This window comes from Homo sapiens, chromosome 6 (genome assembly GCF_000001405.40).
Source record: "Homo sapiens chromosome 6, GRCh38.p14 Primary Assembly".
In the NCBI taxonomy this organism is placed as follows: Eukaryota; Metazoa; Chordata; class Mammalia; order Primates; family Hominidae; genus Homo; species Homo sapiens.
Genome location: NC_000006.12, coordinates 159033171 through 159047149, shown reverse-complemented (window position 1 = coordinate 159047149; position 13979 = coordinate 159033171). Strand labels below are relative to the sequence as shown.

General features: G+C 42.3%; 1 protein-coding gene and 1 long non-coding RNA gene across 6 annotated transcripts in view, besides 6 other annotated features; one reads left to right on the top strand and one right to left on the bottom strand.

The window, feature by feature from the left end:
• TAGAP (T cell activation RhoGTPase activating protein) lies at nt 2159-12669 on the top strand. 4 transcript variants are annotated; one of them, NM_054114.5, is made up of 10 exons: nt 2159-2271; nt 2946-3030; nt 3119-3172; nt 3495-3561; nt 4906-5072; nt 5635-5796; nt 6318-6427; nt 7841-8036; nt 8922-9036; nt 10026-12669. In NM_054114.5, the coding sequence occupies exons 2-10, from the start codon at nt 3004-3006 to the stop codon at nt 11321-11323; spliced, it is 2196 nt and encodes a 731-aa protein (NP_473455.2). In that variant the 5' UTR covers nt 2159-2271; nt 2946-3003; the 3' UTR covers nt 11324-12669. The 4 variants fall into 4 exon arrangements, with proteins under 4 accessions (NP_473455.2, NP_687034.1, NP_620165.1 ...); NM_152133.3 differs by lacking the exon at nt 4906-5072; NM_138810.4 differs by lacking the exons at nt 8922-9036; nt 10026-12669 and having other exon boundaries at nt 7841-8245.
• The window catches only part of TAGAP-AS1 (TAGAP antisense RNA 1), a 43184-nt gene continuing 33298 nt past the window's right edge, over nt 4094-13979 (bottom strand). The window contains exons 4-6 of one of the 2 annotated variants that reach the window (NR_183545.1): nt 6095-6231; nt 4842-5352; nt 4094-4352 (exon numbers count right to left, since the gene is read on the bottom strand). This is a non-coding gene — a long non-coding RNA (TAGAP antisense RNA 1). Of the gene's footprint in view, nt 5353-6094; nt 6232-13979 lie in introns of both variants that reach the window. The other variant, NR_183546.1, reaches the window with a different exon arrangement.
• Nucleotides 4456-4725: an enhancer, noted in NCBI's record as "active region_25383". NCBI's record gives its function as "activates an Ori minimal core promoter by ATAC-STARR-seq in GM12878 lymphoblastoid cells {active_cell/tissue: GM12878}" and the evidence as "EXISTENCE:reporter gene assay evidence [ECO:0000049][PMID:35858748]".
• Nucleotides 5299-6498: an enhancer, noted in NCBI's record as "BRD4-independent group 4 enhancer chr6:159461684-159462883 (GRCh37/hg19 assembly coordinates)". NCBI's record gives its function as "activates an origin of replication core promoter dependent on BRD2, P300/CBP, MED14 and CDK7 cofactors, and independent of BRD4, by STARR-seq in HCT116 cells {active_cell/tissue: HCT116}" and the evidence as "EXISTENCE:reporter gene assay evidence [ECO:0000049][PMID:35650434]".
• Nucleotides 7167-7367: a silencer, noted in NCBI's record as "peak6280 fragment used in MPRA reporter construct". NCBI's record gives its function as "represses an SCP1 promoter by STARR-seq MPRAs in K562 erythroleukemia cells {active_cell/tissue: K562}" and the evidence as "EXISTENCE:reporter gene assay evidence [ECO:0000049][PMID:32103011]".
• Nucleotides 7854-7903: an enhancer, noted in NCBI's record as "active region_25382". NCBI's record gives its function as "activates an Ori minimal core promoter by ATAC-STARR-seq in GM12878 lymphoblastoid cells {active_cell/tissue: GM12878}" and the evidence as "EXISTENCE:reporter gene assay evidence [ECO:0000049][PMID:35858748]".
• Nucleotides 7914-8013: an enhancer, noted in NCBI's record as "active region_25381". NCBI's record gives its function as "activates an Ori minimal core promoter by ATAC-STARR-seq in GM12878 lymphoblastoid cells {active_cell/tissue: GM12878}" and the evidence as "EXISTENCE:reporter gene assay evidence [ECO:0000049][PMID:35858748]".
• Nucleotides 8027-8227: a silencer, noted in NCBI's record as "peak6279 fragment used in MPRA reporter construct". NCBI's record gives its function as "represses an SCP1 promoter by STARR-seq MPRAs in K562 erythroleukemia cells {active_cell/tissue: K562}" and the evidence as "EXISTENCE:reporter gene assay evidence [ECO:0000049][PMID:32103011]".

The following is a 13979-nucleotide window of genomic DNA, read 5'->3' as shown; positions in this document are numbered from 1 at the left end:
GGTAGGTCCCAGAAGAAAAAGAAAAGTCCGTCGATGTAACCATTTCTGCAGGTCATCAAACCATTCATGTTATGTATTTTTAAAAGATGCTGAGGCTGGGCACAGTGGCTCACATCTGTAATCCCAGCACTTTGGGAGGCCAAGATGGGTGGATCACCTGAGGTCAGGATTTCCAGACCAGCCTGGCCAACATGGCGAAACCCCATCTCTACTAAAAATACAAAAATTAGCCAGGTATGGTGGCGCGTGCCTGTAATTCCAACTACTCAGGAGGTTGAGACAGGAGAATCACTTGAACCCAGGAGGCAGAGGTTGCAGTGAGCCGAGATCACGCCATTGCACTCCAGCCTGGGTGACAAGAGCGAAACTCCATCTCAAAAAAAAAAAAAAAGAAAGAACAGTAAGTACATTAAGTTTCTTACAAAAATTTGAAAAGTCCGTTTGTCGGGAAAAAAAAAAGTTTAGAAAATACATACTAGCAATGAATATACATCACATATATATTCTATGATATATAGAACATTATAGTAATATTCTATTTTGGCTATTTTATAAGGAAATGTATATATTCAGAAATTAGTTATTTAGTACCTACTATATGCCTAGCACTAGGCTGGGCACAGCGTAAATGCCCTTTTTCAATTAAAAAAATCAGTGAGTTCACTTTGGAGGTTTATAAAGGCAGGAGAGGGATGCTGAAAGAGTGGTGGCCTCTACAGCTGCCCTGGGAACACTGGGTGAACTCTGGCACTGTGGTGGCTTTCAGAGAGGGAGCCCCCAGCTGGAAGCCTGAAAACCAGGATCTGTCCCTAGGTCCCCACCGAGCCGCTAAGTTACAGAGCAAATTTCGACCTCTCTGTGCTTCGGTTTCCCAAAGTCTGCCCCATAATCACCTCCTTTCAGTAAAATGACAAAAGAACTGACAATGCGGAAAAGTCTTAAAATTAAAGATGCTGATGATAAATGAAGCCAAGTTATTTTAAAACTTTTTATTGAAAAATTACATAAATAGGGAAGTGTGCACATAAGCCTAGCACCACCCAGATCAAGAATGGACCATCACCAAGCCCCCCGCTGGCCCCTGGAAGTCATTACCATCCCCTCTGGGAAACTGCTACTCTTGCTTCCAACAGCACAGACGACTTTTGCTAATTTTGTGCTTTGCATTAATGGGAGCCGGCAGGATATACACTTTCACGTCTGGCTTCTTTTGCTCAGCGTCATATTATGAGATCCAACCATATTGTTGGCTATAGTCATAGGCTGTTCATTATCAGTGCTATACAACATTCATTCCCTATGTGAATGGATCACAATTTATGCATCCATTCTCGTGTCGAGGCATTTGAGTGGTTTCATATATAGCCCTTGATCTACAGAAAAGATCAGAAATTCTCTTATGCAGAAGAGTGATCCACAAATGAAATTCACCATCTCTTTCCTACTTTAAGTTGGTCTGATCAAAGGAATTTTTTTGTTTGTTTTCCTTCCGTGTCAGAACGACAGCTGCTCTGACTGTAAATTAAGTATCAATACTTTTGACCAGGAGTTACAGAAAGGAGGAGGGGGTTACTATATTGACAACTGACTCGAGGGAGTTTTCTTTCTACTTCCAAAGGAAACTAACCTGGCTTTGGACGGTGATTGTTCCTCAAGGAAGGGACTGTCTTGGGTTTCTTTCTGGTTCTGTAACAGTGTCCCACATCCAGGGGTGCTAATCAACGTGTGGTGCTGGTGGACAGAGCAGATGGCACGTGGGAGGGGAAAGAGCACCCAAACAGGATGCAAAAAGAGGCACTTGAAATTACCACTTTAGAAAATAAAGTGATGTTTATGCACAGAATAACACAATTTCTTGTTCACACATCCCACCTATGACATTAATCAGAGCCTTCACCTATGGGCTGAATGTCATGTTTTCCACTCCTAGTAGTTTACAGATTTTTTACTTTGAAGTGGAAGACACAAAAAAAAAAAAAAAAAAAAAAAAAAAAAAAGACATAGCTGCCCTAAAAGGAATGAGGAAGCGAGAGCTCTCCAGTGTCTGGCTGGCTCCGTCCGTGTGACAGCCCATGATGTTCTTTCCGGTCTCTGTAATATTCTGAATTTCCACCTGCCCGCCCCTTCGCTTATAATGCAGAGCATGTGAAGGGAGACCGGCTCGGTCTCTCTCTCTCCCAGTGGACTAGAAGGAGCAGAGAGTTATGCTGTTTCTCCCATTCTTTACAGCTCACCGGATGTAAAAGAACTCTGGCTAGAGACCCTCCAAGGGTAAGTACACTATATATTAACATGCCTAGAAATTACAAGCTGCCTCGCAAGTCACAGGTCACTCAGATCACAGGCAACAGAAAACAGCTATCCCGTGGAATATGCTCTCACTTTATAAAGTCTCAGGACAAAGCTTTGCTTCAACGTGAAGGCTGCACCTTTTTGGTGTAGGAGTTCTGTAAATGTTATCTTTGTTTCATGTTTACTATTTTAGCATCCTAGGGATATGTTTTTTTTTTTTTCCTTTTTGGATTAGATGAGAAAATCCATGCAAAGCACCTACTACGACAGCTGGCATATAGTCAGCACTCCACCAAAAAAGTTAATGTTCATGTTAATTTAAAATGTTAACGTAATTGATATCCAGATTATCTCTTGATGGAACGGAATAAATTGGTAACAACGTTTAGAGTGGTAAAGATAGTTGACTTAAATAATTTAGAAATAATTGTGTTCAGATGCTGCTCTTAACAACATACAACATCTGGTAACAGAACTGATTTTAAATGAAAACTTGTCTATGTAATAGTTTTTTCCAAAGTAAAGGCAAGTGAAAAAATAGCAAAAGAGAAAAATAAATAAATAGTTTCAAACTCTGTGCTTTGGCAAAGTGGCGCTGAAAGTGGCCTACTGTGTGAGTCCCTCCTAACTCCTTTCCATGTGATTCGTTGTAGACAGAGGCACAGCCACACGGGAGTGAAATCCACCCCTGGACAGTCAGCCGCAATACTGATGAAGCTGAGAAGCAGCCACAATGCTGTGAGTGCCCCTCTCACATTCATTCATTCACGTTTCCTACAGGCAAGGGCCAAAAGATATTTACCTAATTTTATTTTTTCTCTTTTAGTCAAAAACACTAAACGCCAATAATATGGAGACACTAATCGAATGTCAATCAGAGGTAAGAAAGCAATTTTTAAGACTTTTTATCTGTACTGTGAGAAGGTGGAAAACTTTGTTTTAATTGAATATTATTTGGGTTGAATAGTAATTATAAGAGTAGTAAACTAACATCACACATGTAGTAAATTAAGCACATTAATTAGGATCTTATATGATGACAATCAAGACCTTAATATTGCTTCTAGAAGCTAGAAAAAACATCAATGCACTCTACTGACTTCATTTTTAATATGAATAAAATGCTGTATGTGTGTTTTGTGGGGAAAGACTCGATAGGTTTCTTCAGTCACTATATTTAACTGAAATAAAAATGTTTTTAGGGTGATATCAAGGAACATCCCCTGTTGGCATCATGTGAGAGTGAAGACAGTATTTGCCAGCTCATTGGTGAGTTTTAAAAACATACCGATCTTTTATGTAAGTGCTAACAACCAGTGCTCTTGGTTTGCAAAACCACAGCGCTTTTACTCTACTAGGAATTTTTTTGTATAAGTTGTTCTGTTAAAGACCGCAGAACATTAACCCTTAAATGGCAGGTATGCTCCAACTCACTAGAGCAGGGAGTGCTGGGAAAGGAAAGAGCCTCTCCATAGAGAATCCCCAGTTCTGCCAAGCGTTTTTAATGCGGTTCAATCTCCTGGCCATGTATGTTTCGACAATTAGCATGCACACATTTGAAAAACACACAGTGTCTTTTCCATTTTCTTCCTTCTCTTATGGAGAATGCATCCAAGAGCCTATGAAGCAACTGTTGCTGATCTCAAATCCCAAAGGACCCACCATTCACTCTCAACTTTTTTCATAATGCATTTCATTATAGCGTAACCCTGACCCAGTTCTCCTGAACCATAAAGACAGGCCACTTCTTTCTCATCATGCTTCCACTTGCCAATCTGAAATGTATAGAAACAGATGCCAATGCATTTAGAAAATATAGCCTTTATAATTAGTAAGAAAGGAGAAGGAAGGAAGGAAGGAAAAGAAAAGAAAGAAGGAAATGTTTGAGATTGCAATATCCATTGCACACACATCTTGTGGATTTCAGAAGGACAGAATATCTTGATAACGTTTTGCTGATAATTCCCAGTTGCCAGATCTAGGTTCAAGGCTTCCCGCAGCGATTCGTATTTGCCTCTGTCCTAAAGCAGCAACCTGGAAAACCCAAGGTGACCAGTCACCTGGAAGGAAAAATGGTGTTAGCTCCCTCTAGTGGCTGTTTAGTGCCTGCGTGGCTGCAAAGGGTTGGAGCCAGCCCTGCTATGTGCCTTCGAAAAGATATTCAGCAAGTCACTTCCTCACCTTTTAAGTTTCGTTTTCTTCGCCAGTTAAAGGAGGAAATCAAAATAATCTATTTCATATCAGAAATTTCCTCTATAGTTATTCAGGCCAGTAGGTTAAGATGGTTGTTTATGATCAGCACAGTTAGGTTTTGCTAATTTTCTGTAGCAAACAGCTGGAAAGAGTGAAAACAGGAAAGGTGGAGGCCTTGAGGAACTCTGGTGTTGCTGTTTAGGGAACTGGTTGCCCTGGTAACAGTGTGGTTGTTTATCGGTTGGTTTTTCTAGATTAAGATTCACGCCCTTTGCTTTCTCAAGTTTTCAAAATTATTTTTCTCACATCGCATACTATTGACCACATTATGCGGCCAACGATACCCATTTTCTTACCTGGATCTTTGCTTCTTAACACTGTAGTCTAATTTTTCTCGTTGCCTTGTTTTCTTGGCTGTAGAAGTTAAGAAGAGAAAGAAGGTGCTGTCCTGGCCCTTTCTCATGAGAAGGCTCTCCCCTGCATCAGATTTTTCTGGGGCTTTGGAGACAGACTTGAAAGCATCGCTATTTGATCAGCCCTTGTCAATTATCTGCGGTGACAGTGACACACTCCCCAGACCCATCCAGGTAGGCGTGCATTCTCTCATAAACCTACTTCAGTTTTCAGTTGGACATGCAAAATACTCGGGAAATCTGAATGTCATTCTCCTATTAAGTTTGTAGGGACTGATCTTCCATATTTTCCACTCTTCAACATGGCACTCCCACATACGCGTGCAGTCAGAAGAATATCTGACTGCTTCCATTCCAGAAATTGAAATTAGTTGTATTTGCCAATGAGCTCAGAGCTATGGTCCCGCCATTCCTCTGACTTCACAGAGTGGAGAATGCTGAAGATTTGTAGCTTCTGAAAAGTCAAAAGGGGGAAACAGAATATAGACTTTGTGATCTGAAATCCAATGTTCATATGGAAGTATTTGAAAGGAGAGAGCTCCAAAGTGATTTTAGAAAGTGCAAAATTAGAGCTTTCACAATTTGCCTCCTCTTAGAAAAATAGCAGGGTTGAGGAAGGCCATTGACAGCAACTGGACTGAAAGCAAAATCTGACATCAATATTCCTGTTAAGACTATCTCAGTATACTAAAGAAGAAGGGTAACCCTTTCCTGTTCCTATTGCTGTTTCCTTTAGGACATTCTCACTATTCTATGCCTTAAAGGCCCTTCAACGGAAGGGATATTCAGGAGAGCAGCCAACGAGAAAGCCCGTAAGGAGCTGAAGGAGGAGCTCAACTCTGGGGATGCGGTGGATCTGGAGAGGCTCCCCGTGCACCTCCTCGCTGTGGTCTTTAAGGTGAGTTCAACACACTTGCGCCAAATAACCTGCCAAGGGGCCCTGACACACTCATTCTCAGGATGCAAGAAATAGGCTCTTCTCCCCACACAGCAAGGTACACTGATCTTGGAGTTTAATTTTTTTCATTAAGCCCTTTATTTATTTATTTAGTAAGCACCTCTGTTTCTGTGACCTCAGATTCCAACAGAAAGTGATGCATTCTGCTCTCCCAAAACTTTGCCAAGTACGGGCAATTTGATTGTTCCGTGGCAGAATCCATACGTCAAAATCCAGTGGCCCCTCAGAACACACCCACCTGGGGATGGTGCCTCTGACTCTGCCTGATGTTAGAAAGTTGCAGAGAGGCCAAGGGTGTTGGAGAGAGGGTTCCCTGGATTCATCAAATGCAGGAATGAAGGGCCACAATCTATGATGGGCTAAGCATAGAGCACCCTGCGATGGAACGAAAACCGGGTGAAAACAAGGACATGGGACATCATACAGTACCAATAGGCCAACAGCCCACTCTCATCCCCCAGGACTTCCTCAGAAGTATCCCCCGGAAGCTACTTTCAAGCGACCTCTTTGAGGAGTGGATGGGTGCTCTGGAGATGCAGGACGAGGAGGACAGAATCGAGGCCCTGAAACAGTAAGTCATCAAAGTCATCGGTCATTGCCAGGCCACATCACCTCCGTCTTTTGATTCTTTACACAGCTTTCTAAATGCTTCATGATCCCTGTTCCATGAGAATTGTGATGTTTAGGGAATCCGAGTGGAATTGCTCGTCCACTCCCAGAACAAAAACCAGAGGGTGCCCTGGACTTTTGAATTTTAATTTTAGCCAAATGAAATATTTCTTCAAAAAGTAGAAAGCGAACTTCAATCCTCACAAATCCCAAGAGGTAGGGAAGTCTGAAAATGTAAGATGTTCAAAAAGGTATGAGATAAAATCAGACCTGAGAACTTTAACACAGGCTCACCAGCAAAGTGTAGAAATTCGGGATTATCTTTAAGCTACACTGACTGGTGTCATGCAAGGCAACAGTTCTCCCATAAAACATCCCTCAGGATGCAGCCAGACAGTGTGGTGGGGGGCAGTTGTTTTGTTCATAAAACTTCACAGCATATTTCATCTTCTTATAATTAACCCAAATGAAAACTATATAATAACACATTCCAGTGAGAGTAAAAATAATAACATATGCAATGGAAAGTGTGATCTGTTAGTGACTAGAGAATTCTAAAACCCAAGCTTTGAAATGTCAGCATGGTTGTCACATCCTATGAAAGTTTATCTAAATGTTATAATTGTCCCACATGGCTAAATACTTTCAATGACATATGTATAGAATTGAAGACATTAAAATGTCTGTCCCAAAATGAAAATTCTAAGATTATCACAATGAGTTTCTACCTAGACATAAGGCATTTTTATAACAATTCCTTCTTCTGAGAAATGAAAATAATCACCATTTCGTTTTTGAAAAAGTGAGACTTTAAGAAGTCTAATTTCTTATCATTAGAAACAATGTTGCGATTTAAGTGCCGCCTTATATGAACATGCCCTTAGAAACTGATTTAGTCTTCATAAAGCTTTCTCAGAATGTTGTAAAAATGTGTCATCTTCGTTTGGTAATTATAGTTTTGTTTCCGTCTTTGTTTTAAGGCAAGAAAACCAGTCTAGTCGTGTTAGAAACAGAAAGAAATTCTACATGACTAAATGATTACTCAACAAAACTATTTTCTAAACATAAAGGCAAACTATGGTGTTTAATGCAGATTGGCTTCATAATTTAAGCTCTGTATAAATAATAAAGGGCTGTGTTATTGGTGTCCCAATTACAAAGGCCAGTTTCTTAGCTCCTCAAGACCTTGTGGTTAACCAGTCTCACTCTGTGTCAGTTGCCACTGGAAGTGTCTGAATGAGCATTTCACAATATTACTTGTGAAAATGCACCTTCCTCATTTTAAAGGAAGTCTGGTTTCGGCAGAAACTCTCAGCTTGCTACACTGAAGACCATTAGCCTTTTTGAAAACTAACATCCCTTCACTTTATTCCAGGGTTGCAGATAAGCTCCCCCGGCCCAACCTCCTGCTACTCAAGCACTTGGTCTATGTGCTGCACCTCATCAGCAAGAACTCTGAGGTGAACAGGATGGACTCCAGCAATCTGGCCATCTGCATTGGACCCAACATGCTCACCCTGGAGAATGACCAGAGCCTGTCATTTGAAGCCCAGAAGGACCTGAACAACAAGGTTTGTTCTGCTTACTGATGAGAAATCCCCAACTTATGATCTCACCATCTGTTTGCCAAGTCCAGGCAATAAAATGCTTCAGAATGTCTCCAACTGACTCAGAATCACAGTGAAAATATAAAATGCAAAATGCTTTTGTCATAGTTCCACTCTCTCAGATACATGTATCTAATGAAACTGAATAAATCCGTGTCTTCTGTCATCTGTGAGACAGATGAGTGCTGCGAGTATTTACATCACTCTCTCCCGATATAAAAAAGCCCTTTTGTTTTTGTGTTTTGTACACCACAGTCTATCAGTCTATCAATCTGGGACACTACTTACTTAAATGAAAATTTTATTAATACTTTAAATTTTTTTAAGTTCTTAAATTTAAAATGCATGTCTCAAAACACCAAGGAGTATCTAACTTTAATGTATGTGATTGTTGGCATGGTGGCTCACGTCTGAAATCTCAGCACTTTGGGAGGCCGAGGCAGGCGAATTGCCTGAGCTCAGGAGTTTGAGACCAGCCTGGGCAACATGACAAAACCCCGTCTCCACTAAAAATAGAAAAAATTAGCCAGGCGTGGTGGCGGGCGCCCGTAGTCCCAGCTGCTCGGAAGGCTGAGGCGGGAGAATCGCTTGAGCCCGGGAGGCAGAGGTTGCAGTGAGCTGAGATCAGGCTACTGCACTCCAGCCTGGTGACAGAGTGAAAGCCTGTCTCAAAAAAAAAAAAAAGTATCTGATTGTTACCAAATTTCTGTATGCTCTTTTCAGACACATAAAGATCTCAGATTCTCATTTTGGCACCTGACTCCAGTGTCCCCATTCTTCCTCACCTCCAAAAAAAAAAAAAAAAAAAAAAAGTCTTCAAGCTGACAAATTGCTTACTTTTCCTCACAGGTGAAGACACTGGTGGAATTCCTCATTGATAACTGCTTTGAAATATTTGGGGAGAACATTCCAGTGCATTCCAGTATCACTTCTGATGACTCCCTGGAGCACACTGACAGTTCAGGTATGGAATGTGCTATCATTTGATTACGATTGTAGGGAAAAGTTCATGCCAGTCTGCCAGTCATGTAAAGCATCTCTGATATTTGAGGCAGAAGTTACCTTCACAAATCACCGAGTCAGACTAGACTCCAGTCCATTAGGAAGTCATTAAACATGAAAACCCTGCTCCGGGCTTTTCCTGCAGCGCCTCCTCAGACCACAGATAGTCTTTCCCCCTTCCCAGTGTACATCGCAAATCACTGCTGATTTCACTAAGCTACCTTTAGCTCTGGAGTTGGAGTGAGAAACTTTTGTTTCCACTTCATGGGATATGACTCCATCACAATGAAAATGGGTCCAGTAAAAGGAGCAGTTTTAAAAATTAAGGTCAATACATTTTCAGTGAAATGCTGTTCTCTCTTTTCTTATTCTCTCCTCTCTTTCTCTCCTTCCTCCCTCCTTTACTCATTTCCTTTCCCTATTTTTCTTCTGATCTCAAAATAAATTCAGAAAGAAATAAACTTTTCATGTGGTACATTTCTTGTCATATCAAGCCCCTAAGTAGTTCTGCTAATAAATCACCTAGTGCCCTGATTGGTATGAGCAGGGCGAACTGTAGCAAAGTTCATTTCTAAAAGAACCTAAATGGCCGTGTGTGGTGGCTCACGCCTATAATCCCAGCACTTTGGGAGGCCAAGGCAGGCAGATTACCTGAGATCAGGAGTTCAAAAACAGCCTAGCCAACATGGTGAAACCCCGTCTCTACTAAAAATAGAAAAAATAGCCAGGCATGGTGGCGGGCACCTGTAATCCCAGCTACTGAGGCTGAGGAAGGAGAATCACTTGAACCCGGGAGGTAGAGGTTGCAGTGAGCCGAGATCACATCACTGCACTCCAGCCTGGGCAACAAACCGAGACTCCATCTCAAAAAATGAAAATAAAAAATACAAATAAAAATAAATAAATAAATAAACCCAAACAAATGTTCAACTGCTGCTTGACTTCCCCCAGATGTGTCGACCCTGCAGAATGACTCAGCCTACGACAGCAACGACCCTGATGTGGAATCCAACAGCAGCAGTGGCATCAGCTCTCCCAGCAGGCAGCCCCAGGTGCCCATGGCCACAGCTGCTGGCTTGGATAGCGCGGGCCCACAGGATGCCCGAGAGGTCAGCCCAGAGCCCATTGTGAGCACCGTGGCCAGGCTGAAAAGCTCCCTCGCACAGCCCGATAGGAGATACTCAGAGCCCAGCATGCCATCCTCCCAGGAGTGCCTCGAGAGCCGGGTGACAAACCAAACACTAACAAAGAGTGAAGGGGACTTCCCCGTGCCCCGGGTAGGCTCTCGTTTGGAAAGTGAGGAGGCTGAAGACCCATTTCCAGAGGAGGTCTTCCCTGCAGTGCAAGGCAAAACCAAGAGGCCGGTGGACCTGAAGATCAAGAACTTGGCCCCGGGTTCGGTGCTCCCGCGGGCACTGGTTCTCAAAGCCTTCTCCAGCAGCTCGCTGGACGCGTCCTCTGACAGCTCGCCCGTGGCTTCTCCTTCCAGTCCCAAAAGAAATTTCTTCAGCAGACATCAGTCTTTCACCACAAAGACAGAGAAAGGCAAGCCCAGCCGAGAAATTAAAAAGCACTCCATGTCTTTCACCTTTGCCCCTCACAAAAAAGTGCTGACCAAAAACCTCAGCGCGGGCTCTGGGAAATCGCAAGACTTTACCAGGGACCACGTCCCGAGGGGTGTCAGAAAGGAAAGCCAGCTTGCCGGCCGAATCGTGCAGGAAAATGGGTGTGAAACCCACAACCAAACAGCCCGCGGCTTCTGCCTGAGACCCCACGCCCTCTCGGTGGATGATGTGTTCCAGGGAGCTGACTGGGAGAGGCCTGGAAGCCCACCCTCTTATGAAGAGGCCATGCAGGGCCCGGCAGCCAGACTAGTGGCCTCCGAGAGCCAGACCGTGGGGAGCATGACGGTGGGGAGCATGAGGGCGAGGATGCTGGAGGCGCACTGCCTCCTACCCCCTCTTCCACCTGCTCACCACGTAGAGGACTCAAGACACAGGGGCAGCAAAGAGCCACTCCCTGGCCACGGACTCTCTCCCCTGCCTGAGCGATGGAAACAGAGCAGAACTGTCCATGCTTCTGGGGACTCTCTGGGGCACGTGTCTGGCCCAGGGAGACCTGAGCTCCTCCCGCTGAGGACCGTCTCCGAGTCCGTGCAGAGGAATAAGCGGGACTGTCTCGTGCGACGATGTAGCCAGCCGGTCTTTGAGGCTGACCAATTCCAATATGCCAAAGAATCGTATATTTAGGAGGGAGGCCATACGCCATGCCATAGCTTGTGCTATCTGTAAATATGAGACTTGTAAAGAACTGCCTGTAGATTGTTTTTAAAAGGTCTTGAATAAGCTCCTTGAGAAAGTTGTGGAAAGCCCTCCTCAGTGAGGATAGCTACACCATGGCCATGGCGCATCAGATAGTCTCTGTGTACCTGGATTTGTGCAATATGTAAAAATGTATCAAATGTATTATAGATAAGGTGTTAGGTGCAAAGGATGTCTAATAATCCCTGCACACGTTTTGAACTTGCAGTGAAGTACACTGCTGTTCCTTGCTTCCTGGGGCACTTTTCTCTTGGTTAGTGTTTAAAAATTATCTTCGCTTTTTTAATGTGGCCTCAAATGTCATGCCAATTTTCACATCTTCCACAAACTCCATTTAGGGAGAAATGTTTAAATCTCTGGTATAAGTTTACTCCATACCAGAGTAAACTATATATTACTCTATATAAGCAGTCTTGCAATAACTAATCACCACCATAGAAGAAAGAAACAGACTGCAAGGAACAGAGTTGAGTGTCTGGAGTCATCAAAGGCATTAAAAACTCCAGTAAAAGCTGGGGCCGTAGCAAAAATCATGAAAAACACTTCAACGTGTCCTTTCAATCATCCAATTAAATGTGGGTAGATTAATGAAAATGTATTACATCAATATTAACTCATCTATAGCACTTTGAGTATCTTTGTAGTTCATGATATCCTATCCTATAATGTGGAGGTAAATGATTTTATATGCATTGGGGGTCATATATAAAACTTCAATGTAATTTCACTACAATAAATTGCCTTCCTTATTTGAAAGTAAAAATGTTCTTTTTTTATTGACATGTTAACTCCTTTCCCTCAATTAATAGAAATCCACTAAGAAAATCATTCACATATTGGTTCACTCAACAAGCATTTATTAAATATATATTCACTATTCTAGACTAATAGCAAGACCGGGGATCTTGTTTAGGAAGAAGCAGTCCCTGTTCTCCAGAATTTGCAAAACCATTAAAAAAGCACCTACTTTAAGCCATTTTTTTTCAGCAAGGAGTCATTCTGCCAGAAAAATGTAGTACACAAATACAGGATAATATAACAAATGTAAAATTTCTCATTTCTAGTGAATTAAACTTTCCAGTAATTTTACATCTCACCTCATTCTTATGATGCTCAGTTTGCTTAATTATTGGCAAACATAATGGTAAAATGTTTGTACTGTATTAGAGCTTTACTGTTCGATTATTAAGATATTTATCCAGTATCTTAGAGATGCTGGACTTCAATTTTCCTTATTTTATCTTTTTAAAATAAAATATCATGCATGCTTCTGATTTGTTATAGAAATATTTTGTGTTGAGTCTTTTCGGAGATGATTTATCAATAATGGGCAAAGTTAATAATGTTGTAAAATAGACTGCTCAAGGCAGCATACTCAGACCTAATATTAAAAATACTTTATTGATGGGCCAGGTGTGGTGGCTCACACCTGTAATCCCAGCACTTTGGGAGGCCGAGGTGGGCAGATCATTTGAGATTGGGAGTCTGAGACCAGCCTGGCCAACATGGTGAAACCCCATCTCTACTAAAAATACAAAACATAGCTAGGTGTGGTGATGGGTGCCTGTAGTCCCAGCTACTTGGGAGGCTGAGGCAGGAGAATCACTTGAATCTGGAAGGCAGAGGTTGCAGTGAGCTGAGATCGTGCCACTGTACTCTAGCCAGGGTGACAGAGTGAGACTCAGTCTCAAAAAATTAAAATAATAAATAAATAAAATAAATAATAAAACTTTATTAAGCCCCAATAATATATAAATTTCATGGGGCAGAGCTTACCTGACTGCTAACTTAAGAAAAGCAGTCCTTTTCCAGAGTTGGTCACTAATAGCAATAGTTACAATTTTAGCATCTACCACGTGCCAGGCACTGTGCTAAGTATTTCAGTACCGAAAAAAAAAATCCTCTGCCTCTAATAATAGCCACTTCTTATTGAGAATCAGAGGATTCCCATCAATAGACCACTAAGACTACAAACCAGGAAGTTACAAATGTATTCCCACTTTACCATTCACCTGATCTCCGTGTGACCCTACTCAGGTCACGAAAACCCGACTCAGGTCACGAAAACCCTACCCAAATTTCCTTATTTTAAAAAAGTGGAATGAAACTGGAAGTCCTCTACACAAATGAATAGCACATTTTGCTGACGAACGTTTAGGAGCTCCCTGCCCAAGCAAATGTCATTGTTAGTCTTTGAACAGTGCAGACAGCAACAGTTGACTATTTCAAATATTGCACAGTGTGGTAGCCCCACTCCTATCTATGGAGTCCATCTGCCTTTCAAACAGGTTTTCCCAACCTGGCTCCCAAGTATATTAGTTTTTGAGAGCTGCTGTAAAAAGTACCATAGATCAGGCGGCTCAGACCACAGAAATGTATGTTTCACAGTTCTGAAATCCGGAGGTCTAAGGTCAAGGTTTCAGCAGGGTTGGTTCCTTCTGGGGCTGTGAGGGAGAATAGGTTCCAGGGCTCTCTCCTTAGCACAGATGGCCTCCTCCCTGTGTCTCTTCACATTATCTTCCCTCTACGTGAGTCTGTCTCCAAATTTCCCCTTCTTCTAAGGACACCAGTTATACTGGATTAG

What these genes read in the sequence shown, in the direction of transcription:
- TAGAP (NM_054114.5), top strand. Translation starts at nt 3,004, where the DNA reads ATGAAGCTGAGAAGCAGCCACAATGCT. An exon ending in TGAGAAGCAGCCACAATGCT is followed by an intron (nt 3,031 to 3,118) that starts GTGAGTGCCCCT and finishes TTTCTCTTTTAG; the next exon opens with TCAAAAACACTAAACGCCAA. An exon ending in AGAATCGAGGCCCTGAAACA is followed by an intron (nt 6,428 to 7,840) that starts GTAAGTCATCAA and finishes ACTTTATTCCAG; the next exon opens with GGTTGCAGATAAGCTCCCCC.